Source organism: Homo sapiens, chromosome 2 (assembly GCF_000001405.40).
Source record: "Homo sapiens chromosome 2, GRCh38.p14 Primary Assembly".
NCBI classification, from domain to species: Eukaryota; Metazoa; Chordata; class Mammalia; order Primates; family Hominidae; genus Homo; species Homo sapiens.
This window is the reverse complement of record NC_000002.12, coordinates 109385629-109401201: the sequence shown is the minus strand read 5'-3', so window position 1 is coordinate 109401201 and position 15573 is coordinate 109385629. Positions and strand designations below refer to the sequence as shown.

The following is a 15573-nucleotide window of genomic DNA, read 5'->3' as shown; positions in this document are numbered from 1 at the left end:
AAGTTATCACACTTTGTCATTGGTGACAAACAGGGTGAGCTCCCCCCAGTCTTAGCACCACCATGACAACCTGCCCGGTGTCAAGGATGTTTGAGCAAGAATAAGCAAGACTATTCCAAGAGCCACTGCTTGTGGCTTTACCCCCCAGATGTGCACACACACAGGGAGCACAGCCACACTGGTCCGCCACTGGGTCACCATGCCCCTCCCAGGAATTTCCAAATAGGAGGTGCTCAAGAAGAATTTAGCCCAGGTCAGGAGTGGAGTTAGGGTTGGGACCAAGGTTATGCTTTTCCCCTTACAGAAAATGCACTAGCAGCCCCAATGGCTGTTCTCTGGGGAATATGGCTCCCAGGCACAGGCTGTGGGAGCATCCAGGCAGTGGGGTAACCATGGGGGCAGATGACTGCACGGTTACAGCTCCAGACACTACAGCACCCATTCCAGACCTCAGCCTCAGCCGCCGATGAGAGCCAGCGTTTGTGTGTGTGCACACATATGCGTGCAGGTGTGTATCCACCAATGTGTGTGTGCGCATGTATAAATGTCTACATGTGTGCACGGGTGTATGTGTGGGTGTGTATGTGGAAGGGACGCATATAAGTTCACAAGTGTGTGTGTGTGTGCGCACAGGTGTGTATGTGTATACGTACGTGTGTGTGCATGTGTATCTGCAGGTGTGCACCTGGAGGGGTGTATGTGTAAATGCACCTGTACGCATGTGTGTGCACATGTGTATGTGTGTGCATGTGGAAGGGGTGCATATAAGTGCACATATGTGCACAGGTGTATATGTGTATATGTGCGTGCATGTGTATATGTGTAGGTGTGCATGTGGATGGCGGTGTATGTAAGTGCACATGTGTGGGTGTGCAGGTATATGTGTGTGCCATGTGTATGAGTGCACATGTGCGTGGGAGTGCATATGTGCGGGCGGGCATGTGCTCAAGTGTCCATGTAATATGTGTGTGTGTGCGTGCATGTGTGCAAGTGTGTGTAGGGGGCATTTCTAGGCTGATGTGGCACATCTAGATTACATGGCCCTTCTCCAGAAGCTCAGCAATTTTTAAGACAATTCTGTGTGTAAAGTTGTCTGAGTTCATTGTGATTTTGAATAAGACAGTTCTTCCCAGCCAGTTGCTTATTGGTGTCTGCCCCATGATTCCCCGCAGATCAGCGCCCTTGCTCTGAGGCCTGTCCAGGGCAGCCAGAGGGACTCTGGAAGGAATGTGGAGCGTGGTGGCGGGTGGGCCGCTGGGTGGAAGGCTGCAGCGCAGGGAGAAATGGAGTGGGCACCATTGTGTGGGCACCTTGGGCTCACCCATGGACATCTGCCACAGTCCTGCAGAAGGTCAGACAACAATGGCACAGGAGTGTGGCTGCAGGGTCACCCTGCCGGGCACTGGGAAAGCCCCTTCCATCTCCTGCTGCAGTCTCTGCATTCATAAAGGGGAAACTTGCCCAACTCCTGCCCTGTGCATGCCACTGTGAGGGGTCTTGTCAGAGCTACAGGCAAGTACTTACTAAATATTGTTCATTATTTAAAAATTTTTTTAATCATTTTATTTTATTTTATTGATTGACTGATTGGTTGCTTGTAGAGACAGGGTCTTGCCCAAGCTGATCTTGAACTCTTGGCCTCAAGCAATCCTCCCGCCTCGGCCTCCCAAAGCCCCAGGATTACAGGCATGAGCCACTGTGCCCAGCCTTTAAATACTTTGCTTTGGTTACTTCAATTTACAAAAAAAAAAAACTAGTGGAAATGGAGTCTAGAAATAGAAGGTATCTGTAGAAACAACAGTAACGAAAGTACTCAACAATGTAGTTGATTCTGATTCTGAGCTCTGACTCCTTCTTTCTCTTGAAAGGGAAATTAGCAAACATTGCAGAGATGGTAAAAATATGCTAGCACTAAGCCAAGACTCTTCCAGGACATAATCAGACATCTGGAAGCCGACTGACACGGGGAAAAGCTTGTCATGAGGCGGGTGGGTGTTACTCAGACATTCCCTGGACCACTGAAAATCAGCTCACACACCACGAGGCCATCTTCTGAACCAGGGAGGGCACACTCACCATTCTCCACGCTTCTAGGGGGGCCCCAGTGCCAGGCAGCAAAGGGCAAACCCCACTCAACCCCAAAAGGCAGTTCTGGGGCGGCCTCCATGCTAGTTGAGGAACGGGGGACACTGAACACGGAGCTGAGGATAGAACCCCAGAGAACCCAGGGATGCCTGCCCTGGCCCGCGGGATGTTACCTGGGTGGGAGCAGCGCACGACAGATGAGCAAGGTCTCCAATCCTGGCCGCGGCTCGGGGATCGCTGGAGCTGATCAACACTGGAGCACTAATTTCCATGGAATGCCTGTGGCTGGCAGCCTGGGAGGATCTGTGCGTCACACTGAGCGCGGTGAAGGAGTGGCGTTTCTTGGTGTTCTTCTTGCCATCCACACGCCGCTGAAAGGCACTGACCGCCCCTGAGCTGCTTAAAGTGGGACTTGGGGCCACGCTGGCCACAGCGCCGGAGTCAGAGGGCAGGGAGGCATTGCAGCTGGATGCAGCGGCTGGGCATGGCTTGTCCATCTCAATGAGCTGCTTGGCGGAGTCATTGAGCTGAGTGAGAAAGGGGAGAGGGGAGGCTGCATTAAATCATGGTCACATGCCACACCAGCCCTCTGCACTCTCCAGGCCACATTTCCATTCACAAACTGGCAATGCATTCAAATCCGTCAGACTGCAGGGAAAACACAGAAGAGGCTGGTGGGGTGGCATAGGTTTTATTGAAAAGGTTTTTGGAGCAGCTCAAAAACCCCAGGAGCCATGATGGAGAGAGGGGACTCATAGAGAAAGAAGAGTTTTCCAAGGGCCACTACCTTGTCGCCCCAATCTTTTCAACTGCTGGCCATTTCTGGGATGCACGGTGCCGCCTTGCAGACAGTGAGGGACTAGGGACAAGATGGGAAGGAAGCCCCATATCAGAAGACGTGGGCTGGCCCTGCATGCTCCATGACAGCAGGTTCCCAGCCTGCCCTGAGCACTGCAGGTCCCCGGAGGAGATTTCAAAGCATGTGACTGGAATGCACTTTCTAATGGCTGGTGACCGGCTGTGGCAGGGGAGTCTGCTCTGGTCAGCATAAACCACAGAAGCTCTTTTCAGTAACCGCCTCCACTCAGGCTGTCAAGCCCCAGAAGCTGGCCTGAGCATACCCCAGGAGGTGTCAATAATCTGTCATCTTGAGTGATTTGGCGAGGTCTCAGGACACGACTCCTTCCCACATCTCCCATTGTTCTACAAGATAGCAGGCGTTGTGCGCAGTGAAGAGTTTGACGAAAGTCTGATCCTGGGTGGTGGTTATCAGGAAAGGTGGCATGAAGGTTCAAGTCCATGAGCAACCGGGGAATAAACCCTCCTGGCCGGCTAAGCCACATCCTTCCTCTCAGGGCTGCGGCATCACCTGGAGGGGCTGGGAGGGGCAGCCCAGGCACACCCACTGGGGGAAGGTCCGTGAATTACACAGCCTGGGGAGGTACCAGCTGTGAGAAAAGGCTCCCTGGGCTGGTCCTCAGGGCCTCAGTTAGGTCAGTTCACCATCTGTGAGTGACAGTGTCCCCTGATCCTATACCTGGAGGAAGTTTCCCACTTGGGTGCCCAATGGAGCCCCTTCCTTCTTAGGCTGTACTTGGCTCAGCCTAAGTGCACACCTATATGGGGAGCTCACAGTGATTTGAAAGAATAAAGCAGAGGGAACTCTTTATTGTGTACACAGAGGTGGCTGGGAAGAAACTATGATACTAGAATCATCATGGGATGATTGCTACAAGCTGGGTTAGGCAAATGCCATCAGGCTGGGTAAATGCCTGTGAGTTTCCACTCTTTCTCCCTCACCTTTCCAGAAGTAGCAGAAAAAAACTGAGTAAATGCCAGCTGCCCTCTGGGCAGATCTCCCTGGAGGAGCACAGAGCTCAGGGCAGGAGGAAGCGGGAGCTGTCTCTGAGTTTTCTCCTCACCAAGCGGAAACTGAGCAGGGTGGAGTGGTTGTGTGCAGGCCTGGCACATTCTGTCTGCCAGGGTACTGTTTTGGGTTTGGGGCCTACAGGGTCTCTGCAGCAGCACAACTGGGCTCTGTGCTGTAGGGCACCACAGAGGCACCTAGGCCAGTGGCCAAAGGGCTTTCCGAAAACTGCAGGTAGGCCACCGGGGGGCATTCTGAAGCCTTCATGGGAAAAACGGGACTCAGCAGTGGTCAGGAAGGACGTACAGGATTCAGAAAGGAAGAGGAGAGAGGCAGTGAGTCAGTGAGATCCACGAAGGTGGGAACCACAGCAGGCAAGTGAAGGACCATGTGAGCCGCTATGGAAGTGCAGGCTACCTGGGGCAGAGTCACGCCCGCTCTGTGGCCAGCCATGGGTGTAAGCTTGGCATAGGCTAAGGATATAGGCTAAGCCCTTGCATGTGAGGCCCGCAGGTGCCAGGAGGGGCCTGTCCCCCACACCTACCAGGAGTCAAGTCTGACGTCAGCCTGGTCTAGGAGATTCCCCTCAATGCTGTCAATCAGTGAAGGGAAACACCAGGTCTCACCCAGATTCAGAACTAGCATTTGCAGCTGGTAGCACCTTGATGAGTTAAAAAAACAAAAACAAAAAACCCAGAAGCCCTGCTGAGTTTAAGTGGCATGATAAAGGGTGGCCCCATCACAGGGCTGCTCCGTGCAGGCCGAGCAGATCACAGGAGCAGGGTGGCTGCAGGTTCCAGCTGCCTTCAGACCCGGCCCAGGCACATGGCTGTCAGCATTTCCACTACGAATATCTGCCTTTCAGAGGGAGGTTATGAAAAACCTCACTCCGGGCTCCAACATGTGTGATCTAAATCTAGGGTTATTTCCTTTGAAATGTTTCCTCCAACCAGGCTCAGCTGTTTTGCTCTATTTTATGGCTGTATTCATTTGCTTCCTCCTAAGTGCTACTCAGAGAACAAACCAGTGCCTGTTCCCTCCCACAGCCCTCCGTGGGGCTCTCCAAATACCTGGGAGCCAGCTTTCTGGACCCCAGTGTTCTCTGCCCACTTGACAGGGTATAGAGGAAGACACAGCAGCAGGGCACAGTGAGCGCAGTCCTCCATTCGTCTCACTCACTGGCATCGGAGCACGTTCTAAACACACCTGCCACGCGCCTGCACTTGGGACATCATTACACAGCAATCATGGCAGCAATAATGCTGAGGCTGGGCTCAAATGATTCCCTTCTCCCCAAAGGAACAGGCCTGGAGTGTTTCACTTAGTCCTCCTGTGACCCTTTTGAGTTGGTACTGAAAACTGTTTTCAAAATCAGGAAATCCAGGCACCAACAGGTTGTTGTATGCAAGTCCAGAAGAGATGGGGCCCTGATCTGAATGTCAGCATGGATTTCCAGGCTCCCTATTCTCATCAGGAGACACAGCAGCCAGAAGCACAGTGCCTGGCCCCTCAGCAGTGCCACAGGTCACTGAGCACTGGGCGGCCACCAGCACGTGTCCCCGAGAGGCTGCTCACAAGTGACTGCACTGTGCCTTCACGGCGGAGACAGAGAGTGAGGGTGGGGAGACAGCATGCATCCCTCATGCCTTAGCAACCCCAGCCGAAGGCCGGTGCTGAAAGTGAAGGCAAAAAGCTTCCACCAAGATAGGCAGCTTCAACAGACGGCAGGAGAAGTAAGAGCTCCTGCCTCAAAGAAGAAAGTCCTCAATGCCTCATCCAAAGCTTCAGCATCCCCAGCATCCCTGCAGCAGCCAGGCAGGCGAACCGCTGCCGAGGGGTCTCCCAGGAAGAGGAGGGGTTAGGCTGTATCCTGTTGACTCATCTCTGCTTCTGAGCCAAGGGGCTTCTCCATGGACCCCTTTCCTCCTGCCCTGTCAGTCTTCGTTCTGAAAGCCCAGAGTGGACTAACCCGAAGGGCCTCAACAGGCAGATGCATCTCTACACACATGGGACTGAGGAGTCATTTTCCACCCACCACTGGGGACCAGGCTTGCCATACTCACACAGGCATGCGAGTAGCGCACGCACTGGCCTGCCTGCGGAGTCCCAGGCACTGCTACAGATCTGTGACTTGATCCTGGGGCAAAACTCTCCATCTGGGGAAGTTTTCATTGTCTTCACAACAAGCTCCAATTAGTCACGTCATAAAGCTGGGCCTGAATTTGGCACCGGTGCCATCCCAATCAGAAGGACCCTCACCGGCCACACACATCCTTGTGGGCCCACGGTCACAGGATGCCCTCGCCTGCCAGTGCCTGTGCGGGACGGCGGCTCCCGTGCACCCATTAGGAGCAGCCACACTTTCCCAGCTCCTCACTCTGCAAGTTGGTGCAGACTCGTCTCGCGCACAGGCCTCCATGCTGCAGGGAAGCCAGGTGGCTCTGCCCTCCCATGTGGTGTGGATTCGGCCTGAGGGTGCAGCCCTTCCCACCAAGGTGCCATCTGGAAAGGAAAGGACTCCAGTGGCTCTATCTGCATGTGGCGTCACCTTGTTTATCAGGTGGACGTCCCCCTCCTACATAGATGTGCACACACATAACCAATGCACCCAATAACTAAACTTTTCATGTTTTTTAATGGAAAGAGAACACATTTTCAACTTCCATACAAAATGGAAACAAAATGATAACATCAATATTTTAAACATCTCGGTAACTTTATCCATTCATCATGAGGACTGCTCCTGGTACCTGTGCAGGTGTGTGCCCTTCCCAGAGCCTGCCCCTGTTCTGGGGCCCCTCTGCAGGGGCCACCCCCTAGTCCGATGCTCTTGGGAACATGAAACCGGATGGGGTGGGAGATTAGCTCAAGGGGATGGTGCAGTCTTGTCCATGGGACAGTAAAGGTTGGGCCAGGGCTCACCATCCCACAGGGGACCCCGCTTACCACCCTATGGTCTCTGTGACCTCGAGTGGCTGCCTGCTGGCTCAGCAAAGCCCCTCCCAACACTTTGTCTCCCCAGCTTTCTTAGGTTAGATGTGATTTTCTTCCACAACCACTTTCCAACCACAGAACTGTCTAGAAAGGTAAGAAAAACTGAAGAGTTTCTTCCATCCATCCTTTAAACAGTTCTACAGAATGGACTCTTGGTTTAGAGTGCTCTTTAGCCTTGTGGCTGCGTCCGAGGGTGGGGCTGGGTTGAATAGAGAAGACTCTCTCCCCGCAGCTCCTGGAGCCATGGGTCTCCTGACTCCGGTGGGGAGGTGCGGCCAGCCCTGGAATTTCAGCGCTGGGTCCACGACAGCGCCAGAGTATAGTCACCCCAAATCCCTGGGTCTGACTGAGGAGACTTTGTTTTTTTTTTCTTAAAAAAGGAGTAAGATTGGCAAGCCAGTCATGAGGGAGGACAGCAGCTGTAACATGAAAAGAAGAGCAGTGGTGTGGGAGGTGCCCAGCTTCAAAAGAAAAACAGCGCAAAGTAGTTGTGTCCCCCTGGGCCCCTGCACTGACCCAGAGTGGAGGAAGAGCAACCTCAGCACTGAGCGACAGGGCTTGGGAGCGCGATACAAGGGAGGGAATGTGTCCTGAAACCCACATCTTGGTGGAAATCCAGGAAGCCAAGGGTGCAAGCAGGAGGGCAAGTGCTCACAGTTTAACAAGAAGGCAACACATGACTCTTTTCATGGATGCACCATTCGGAAAACAAAACGGACTGAGCACCTACTGTGTCCTGGGCTCTGCTCAAAGACCTGCTCTGAAAGAGTTTCTATTTCAGTGTGCACTGAACGACCTGGGGATCCTTCACAGAGGCCAACTCCGGCTCAATAGGTGTGGGCTGTTGCCAAGTTTCTGCATTTCTGCCAGCTCCCAAGAGACGACGATGCTGTTCTTTGCAGATGCCATTGTTGTAGCAAGCTTCTAGAACACTGTTTGCAAGCTCGGCTTCCCAATGGCAGCACCCTCCCTGAGAACCCTCCATGGACCAGACTCACATGTTCCAGAGACTCCTGTGGGGCGTTCGCCTTACCCTGAAGCTCCCACTCTCATGGCTGAGTGCGGCAGAGGCCACCAAGGCTGGTTGCTGGCCTTAAAGCTTCAAAAACTCAGGAGCAGATGAAGAATGGCCTTTGCCTGCCTGAAGCTTTTGTTGGGAGACATCTCAGGAGCTTCCCCTCACTGAGACGGGCAGGCAAGATGGCTGGGCTGGGCTGGACTTCGATCAACACTTGCCAGTTGTAAAACACGTCATTCTTCAGGAGACTAAGCAGGGGCGGTGGAGAGGGAAGGATTCCCTTTGACACTGGTTCCTTCGCCCTCCTCATAGGCACCCCTCATCCTGAAGAGTTGTGTGTGGAACATTCCAAGAGCCTTTAAGGAGAAAGGCTTCCAAAGCCAGGGACTCTTTGCCAGTGACTAAGCTAGTAAGAAGCCAGGGGGCCGTGCGTGGTGGCTGACGCCTGTAATCTCAGCACTTTGGGAGGCTGAGGTGGGCGGATCACAAGGTCAGGAGATCAAGACCATCCTGGCTAACACGGTGAAACCCCATCTCTACTGAAAAAAAAAATTAGCCGGGCGTGGTGGCAGGCGCCTGTAGTCCCAGCTACTCCGGAGGCTGAGGCAGGAGAACGGCTGGCGTGAACCCACGAGGCGGAGCTTGAGCTTGCAGTGAGCCAAGATCACGCCACTGCACTCAGCCTGGGCAACAGTGCGAGACTCCGTCTCCAAAAAAAAAAAGAAGAAGCAAGGGGCCTGGTGACCACCCCTGGCCAAGCCGACTTTACCTTCATCCCCACATGTGCCCATCAGACCCTTATATCCACCACGAGGTGACAGCAATGTGGCCATTTTACAGATAAGGAAACTGAGGCTCAGAGAGGTTAAGTGACCTGTTCCAAGTTACACAGTGAACAAGCAGCACCATTGCTACTGCTCACCCCTTTTCTGAGATGTCTCATTGAATCTGCTGCCATCCCCTCGTCACTGCAGAGTACGAGGAGGCCCTTCCCCTCTTGCTACATCTTGATGTAAAAAAAAGAATATATTCACTGAGGTATACCTATGCCCTTGACTATTGGAATGGGTTGGGTACATTTTAGAGATTCAAATGTGGGTCTTTAAAAATCAGGCCTTTTTGGGCTAGGCACAGTGGCTCATGTTTGTAAACTCAACACTTTGGGAGGCCGAGGCAGGCTGACTGCTTGAGTCCAGGAGTTCGAGATCAGCCTGGGTAATATAGTGAGACCCAGTCTCTGTAAAAAATTAAAATTAGCTGGGCGTGGTGGCATGCACCTGTGGTCCTGGCTACTCAGGAGGCTGAGGTGGGAGGATCGCTTGAGCCTGAGAGGTCACGCCACTGCACTTCAGCCTGGGTGACAGAGTAAGACCCTGTCTTAATTAAAAAAAAAAGAAGACCATATTTTTAGGAGGTTGAAAATGACATGAAAAGTGGGTCAGGCAAATTCTCATATGGGACAGATGCCAGCTATAGTTACCAAGGGTTGGTGGCCGTTCTGTTCCCTTCCCTTTATTCACAGAAGTAGTGGCCTCAGAGGCCTGTGGACAATGCCAAACTCTTATTTCCTGGGGACATCGAACCCTAGGCATCTGTAAAACACTGGTGCCAGCACTCTGGACTGATGCTCCCTGCCCGGCCACAAGCCGTGGCCACACACCTGCTATGGGAGAGGCTTCTACCCTGGAGGAGATTCCCCCCTTGAAGTTAGTTTGACAGAGGCTGAGCAACACTAGAGCACTGCAGGAGTGTGCTGGAGACCTGTGTGAGGCCGCCGGCCCTGCCAGAGTGAAGGCCCGAGCCCATGGGTGACCCGCACCCCTCCCCGAGCCTGTGGGTGACCTGCATCCCTCCAGCACATGGCAGATGTGCCTTTCCCATCCTGTCCTCTTGGTGTTTGCATTCTAGCCCTGGTCCCCGTCCTGTAATGGCTGAAGCATACAGGTCAGGCTGCTGTCGGGCTGCCCAATGGGCTGGCAAGCTGAGGTGACTATTCGGATAACTGAAGTTTAAAACGCAGGTGCAGACCTGCACTGCACAAATGGCTGCCTAATTTTGCACGTAAAGCCTGAGTACAGGCAAGGCTTTTGGAAGAGTTGACATTTAAAAATCTGAGGAGGGAGTCGGAGCGAATGGTTTTCATTTCAGCCCCCTCTTATGGACTGGACAAAACCCTGTCCCTGTCAGGTGCAGGCTGGTCCCATGAGAGGCAGGTGGCACCCGTCCACCTTGTCCGCCTCTGGGTGCTAGCTGCTTGGGGGCAGTTGGCCAAGCTGCAGATCAGTTTGTGGAACCTGCCCGCCTACCCCAGCTGTCACACAGCCCACAGCAGCATTCATGCCGGGACCCTCTAGAGAATTCAGGGGCCGCCCTCTGCCAGTGCCCTATGATGTGGCACATGAATCTGCACACCCTGGGCCAGGCTCATCTCATAGTGGGTAGCCCGGGAAGCGACCGCCCCTGTGAGGCCCCACAAGCCAGCCCTCAAAACCAAGATCTGCCAAAGAACCTCCAGCTGCCCTGCGGCTGTCAATGCCTCCTTCCTCATCCCAGAGTCCATGGGTCTCGCCAGCAGAACCAGAAATGCCGACCGCACCCCCACTTGCACCTTTGTCATAGTTATGTCACCCTTCTTCCTCCCTGGATCCCACCCTAGTCCTCACGGGGAAATGAGGCTCCACCTGCTTCGAGTTTAACCTCTTGATATTGGGTGATGTGTCCCTCCTGGACTGGCAATCTACATTGTCATTTCAGTATTAAGACCTGCCAGAAGGAAGATTCCAGGACTAAATAAGAAAACAGAAAATTTCACTCATTTGCTAGGAATGTGTCCAAGTCCATAAAAGTACCAGGAGCAGCAGAACGGCCTGATTAGCCCCTCAGCAGGGGTGTCCTGTGAGCAGAAGGACCGCTGATTAGAAGTTTTCAGACTGGGATAAGGACCCTGTGATAATTTTACCTGAAGATGAACCTAAAAGGAGATAAACTGGTAGTTTATGGGCAAAGAAGTGTGTGAAGGGCATCACTTATTCTCCACTTTCTCCAAGAACTGCCACAAGGGAAGTCTCTCTGTTGGGACAGTGAAGAGACCTCAGACCCTTGGCAGCAGGTGGGGACCCGCATGGCCTCCGGTAGACACTTAAATCCTGGGCGAGTCCCTCCGGTGGGGTGTGTGCTGCACGTGGATTTCTGGCCATTTTTAACCTGAGGACCAAAGTGATTAATTTCCCAGGGCGCTTCTGCCTTAGAAATCGCAGATCTTAGGTGGGTGAGGAGGAACAAGGGGAGCAAGAGGAGTGGCTGGCACAGATTCAGGAGAAGGCAGATGGCCGCTCCACCCAAAGAGCTCCCAGGGCCGGCCCAGCCACAGCCCAGGCAGGTGGGCTCTGACCTGTTCTCTGACAGTGCACCCCCATCAGGGAAGCATTTCTGCATTTATATTCTGATGTACCAATGATCACTCGCATTATACATATGTAATGTGTATCTTTTGGTGTATTTATCTAGTGGACCAAATAATATATTTGATTACCAAAAATATATAAAATAGCCATACACAAAATAGAAATTAAAACTAACAAGTTAAAATTTCAGTAAGTTTGAGTAGAATTTCTCATGTCTTCTTTGCACAGAGTGGCATGCACCCTACCTTGGAGATCTCTGGCTTAGAGCAGTGGTTTTCAAACGATCCATTGATTGGGTCCTGACCGGCCTTTTTAAGAAACGGAATAGAATAAATATTGGCATGCGTCCATGTGGTATGGAAGTAGCTTCACAGACCATTTCTCTAGGCTCACACACTCATGCGGTATGCCCTCGGTCAAGATGTCAAATGCAGTGTCACTGTGGGTCACACCCACAAAGACAGAAAGCTGTCGGCACCCAGGGGAGATGACAGACATTGCCTCCAGTAGAAATAAAAGGCCCTCTTCCTCCTGTTTGCACAGGGTGTGAACCTGATGCACAAGGAGCGGGGCCTGGCCCACGCTTGCCCCTCTTGCTGAGGACCAGGAGGGGCCCTCACAGCTGACTCAAAACCCACAGGCACCTGGGGCTGGGACTGGATGTCTGTGTGTCTGCAGGTACGCTCACCTGTGTTCTATGTGCAGCTTCTCTGGGACAGAAAACCAGCTCCCAAGGTTGGTGAGTGGCACCTGAACTTACCCTGGCTTGTGTGGCCTTGGGCCTATGATGCTGCATGTGATGGGCTCCTGGTGTAGCTGGAGGGATGGTGCATTGGGCTGTGGTTTACAGGACATCAGCCAGACTATCGTGGTGGCTGCACACTGCAGCCCTCATGTTCTCACCTGCTACCTCCTCACCACTAATCTCTATTACCTAGAAAGCCTCCAGGTGGCAAGCATTTCCTCCTTCCCTCCCGTCTCTATACCCCCTTCTCTCTAGTCTCTCTCTGACATCCCAGAGCAACCCTAGGAGAACAAAGCCAAAGTGATCAGATCAAGATGTCACAGCTGATCCTTGGAGGTCTGAGGATTAGAGCCTACTTCATCCTCTTGCAGGGGTCTCATTTCACAGATGCTTCAAATGTTTAGTGCTGGGGGCAAAGTACATGCTCGATAAACACCTATTCCATGCATAGGTGTTTGAATGAATGCAGCTAGCATTTGCATGTGCATGCAGCAGTGGCTGTTTGTTGAGTATATTCTAAACACTGCTCAGCACTTCTCACCCCTCTACAGAGCTGTAACTCACATCACACTTCAGACACAGGGTCAGCAGCTGAGAGTACCTGGGGGGCCTGGCTGGGGAGGGTGGTGGATCTTGCATGAGTCCAAGCCTCACTCAGCACTCACTGAGTACCTGCTGCTGGTTGTGAGCTCTGCCAGGCAATCTGTGGCAGGTGGAGCTTTTTCACAGCAAGAACTTTTCTTTAGGATGTGTTCCATGTTCACAAAGGAGCTTAAGAACAGGCATGCTGCAACTAACTCATCAGTGAAAAATTGAATGAAAGTGCTACTAGAGAAAGGCTTGGCTGAGAGGGGAAGACAACTCAGTTACTATGGTTACAGACAGGACATAACCATAGAAAGTGACAAAGTATTTCAACCAAAAGGACATAAGTGACCTAAGTATTTCAAGGTCATGGAGAGGCGTGGGCAGGCGTAGGATGGTGAATGTGTGTGCATGTGTGTGCACAGGGGTCAAGAGTTGTCTAAAGGAGTTCAGGCTGTGAGGGCTGAACAGGAGTCAGGATGGACACAAAGCTTCTGTCGACTCCTGAACAGGGACCGAGGAGTCCCTGGAATTGGTGTGGGGAGCCTCAGCATGGTTGGGAATCTGGGCCAGTGTGGGAGCAGTGGAACGAGTCAGGAAGGGCCGTGTGCGGGTGGATGGGCCGGGGGAGGAGACCCCCCCCCCAACCATCTGGGGCTGTTGCTTTGGAAGAAGAAGGTGGAATTGGGCACCTACTGCAGGCCAGGGGCTCTGCTTAGCACTGTGAAATAAATACAGACAAAACCCCTGCTCTCCCAGATACCCAGACAAGGAATAAGTGAATATTTCATTACATAGAGGACGTTGAATGGTGAGAAGTACATGGAGGAAAAAGTATGAGAGGAGGATATGCTGAGGGGCTGCAGGTTAAATAGGGGGCCCAGATGGGCTTCACAGGGAAACTGACCTGTGAGCCAAGACCTTGAGGAGATGTGGGAGGGAGCTGGCCCCATCACATCTGGGGAAGGGTGATGGGCAGGTGGGAACAGCATGTGCAAAGGCCCTGTGGCAGCAGCTGGCTGGAGTGTCTGAGGAAAAGCAAGAAGGCCAGAGTGGCTGGAGCAGACACATGGGCAGAAATAAGGTGGGGGTGATGGGGTCAACTAGTGCTGAAGCTTCTGGGCCCCTGGGAGGTCCTGGATCTCCCCTGAGATGGGGAACCGGAGGGCTCTACAGCAGCACAGGGACACAACAGGATCCCCCGGCCCTGGCGCTGAGAAAAGGTTGCACAGGTGAGGCACTTGGAAGCTACTGCAATCATGTTATGAGAATATTCTCACAATTTAATGAGAAAAGCCAGGCAGAAATACTGATACAGCGCAATCTCAAATTTGTCCAAAATATATGTAAATTTATACATAGAAAAGAATAAAAGAAACAGAACAATATGCTAACAACGTTTCACCTCGTTCTTTCTCTACACATATATTCATATTTACTGGTAGGATTATGGGTGATTTTAATTTTCTTCTTTACACTTTTCTGAATTTTCTTATTTTGAGCAATAGCCAGGTATTATTTTTATAATCAGAAAAAGTCATTAGAAACAAAAAAGCAGATTAGGCTGGAGTCTCCATCGACCTATGGGGAGACCTCCTGAGCTGCGGCAGTGACAGATTTTTTTTGATTTTGTACAAAGCGTGAGGTGCCCTAAAGAGCCTTTGGTGTCTTTGGTTTTGTGAGAATGCAGTCATTTTTTAAGAGCATGATGTTTCAGGCAAGGTCTAGCAAAGGTTTCCTCTTCCTTGGGCAGTTTTGTTTCCAGCCCTAGGTGACAGCCACCAGCTGAGGGGGACACAGACCTGGACTGACACCTGAGGGAGATGCCAGGATCCTGGGGCTGCCCCTAGGATAAGCTCTAAGAGCTCAGAAAGTGGTAGGGATTAGCCGGGCCCAAACAGAAGGGAAGCAGAAACACAGAGAGGTGGGTAGAGGACTCACACTCAAGGGCCGCAAACCAAGGCCCAAGATCCAGCTAACGCTGGTTTTTGTAAATAAAGTTGTTTGAGGGACAGCCCGCCTGCTGAGCTATTGTTTATAACTGCACTTGCCACACAAGCAGCCACAGTGTTTTTTTTTTTTTTTTTAAACTTCTTGTAACAGTCATAGCGGCCCCCTGGTGTTTGGTCCTTTTGGCTTCATGTACGGCCTGACCTTCCCTGCTGCTTCCAGCAAATTGCAGAAGCCACACAATGTCACCTGTACATGCTCCATATGCGTCTCTAACGGATAGGGAGATCCACAGGGGCTAGGCCATCCTCAGGGACTGGGGAGAAGGCCGGAAGCCTGGGTCACTTCCTCCTTCCCTCCCCAGCTCTGTTGAAAGGAGCAATTCCAGGCAAGGCGGTCAGCTTTGCAGCCTTGACCCTCTCTTTCAAGGTCTATGCACGTTCCTTAGCTTCCAGATCCAATCTACATTCTTTTGAGATTTTTCAATCCTAAAGCTAGCACTTCCATTCCAGCTCATCCCTCAGCTGGATCCAAGAACAGGGTATGAAGAATTGCTACAACTAAAACCCCAACTTAACCCAAAGGGACATATTTAAAAACAGGTGAACAGATGCACTGTGTTGCAAATTTACCAATAAGAAATATGAAGAAGAGCAGAGTTTCAACCAAACGTCCATCTCTTTTTAAATACAAAAGGCTTTATGGACGTGTAAATTTGACCTCCTGGGTTTATTTTTTTTGTTTCTGGTGCCAGGTCCTACCTCAGTCCAGTGGCTGCAGGATAAGTCTGCAGCCATAACACAGTCCACCCTGGCAGGGCTGGCTGGGACACAAAGGCTTAGGCTTGGCCAACCCCTTGAGGTCTGAGAGCTTGTGTGGGGTGCTCCCTGCCTCTGATGCTCAAGCAGCTGACCTCAGGCTCTGC

The 15573-nt window shown here is 52.1% G+C and overlaps 2 protein-coding genes across 5 annotated transcripts in view, besides 2 other annotated features; both read right to left on the bottom strand.

The window, feature by feature from the left end:
* The window catches only part of RANBP2 (RAN binding protein 2), a 1122820-nt gene that overhangs the window by 441100 nt on the left and 666147 nt on the right, over window positions 1–15573 (bottom strand). The gene's annotated exons all lie outside the window — the stretch shown is intronic.
* The window catches only part of SH3RF3 (SH3 domain containing ring finger 3), a 375430-nt gene that overhangs the window by 103433 nt on the left and 256424 nt on the right, over window positions 1–15573 (bottom strand). For 3 of the 4 annotated variants that reach the window (NM_001099289.3, XM_011511109.3, XM_047444144.1), the window contains exon 4: window positions 2259–2612. In NM_001099289.3, the coding sequence (NP_001092759.1) occupies window positions 2259–2612 (354 nt within the window). Of the gene's footprint in view, window positions 1–2258; window positions 2613–7676; window positions 8423–15573 lie in introns of those variants that run through there. The other variant, XM_011511110.3, reaches the window with a different exon arrangement.
* Window positions 3962–4461: an enhancer, noted in NCBI's record as "H3K4me1 hESC enhancer chr2:110013197-110013696 (GRCh37/hg19 assembly coordinates)". NCBI's record gives its function as "activates a minimal SCP1, AML or CMV promoter by ChIP-STARR-seq in primed H9 embryonic stem cells {active_cell/tissue: H9 hESC(primed)}" and the evidence as "EXISTENCE:reporter gene assay evidence [ECO:0000049][PMID:30033119]".
* Window positions 4462–4963: an enhancer, noted in NCBI's record as "H3K4me1 hESC enhancer chr2:110012695-110013196 (GRCh37/hg19 assembly coordinates)". NCBI's record gives its function as "activates a minimal SCP1, AML or CMV promoter by ChIP-STARR-seq in primed H9 embryonic stem cells {active_cell/tissue: H9 hESC(primed)}" and the evidence as "EXISTENCE:reporter gene assay evidence [ECO:0000049][PMID:30033119]".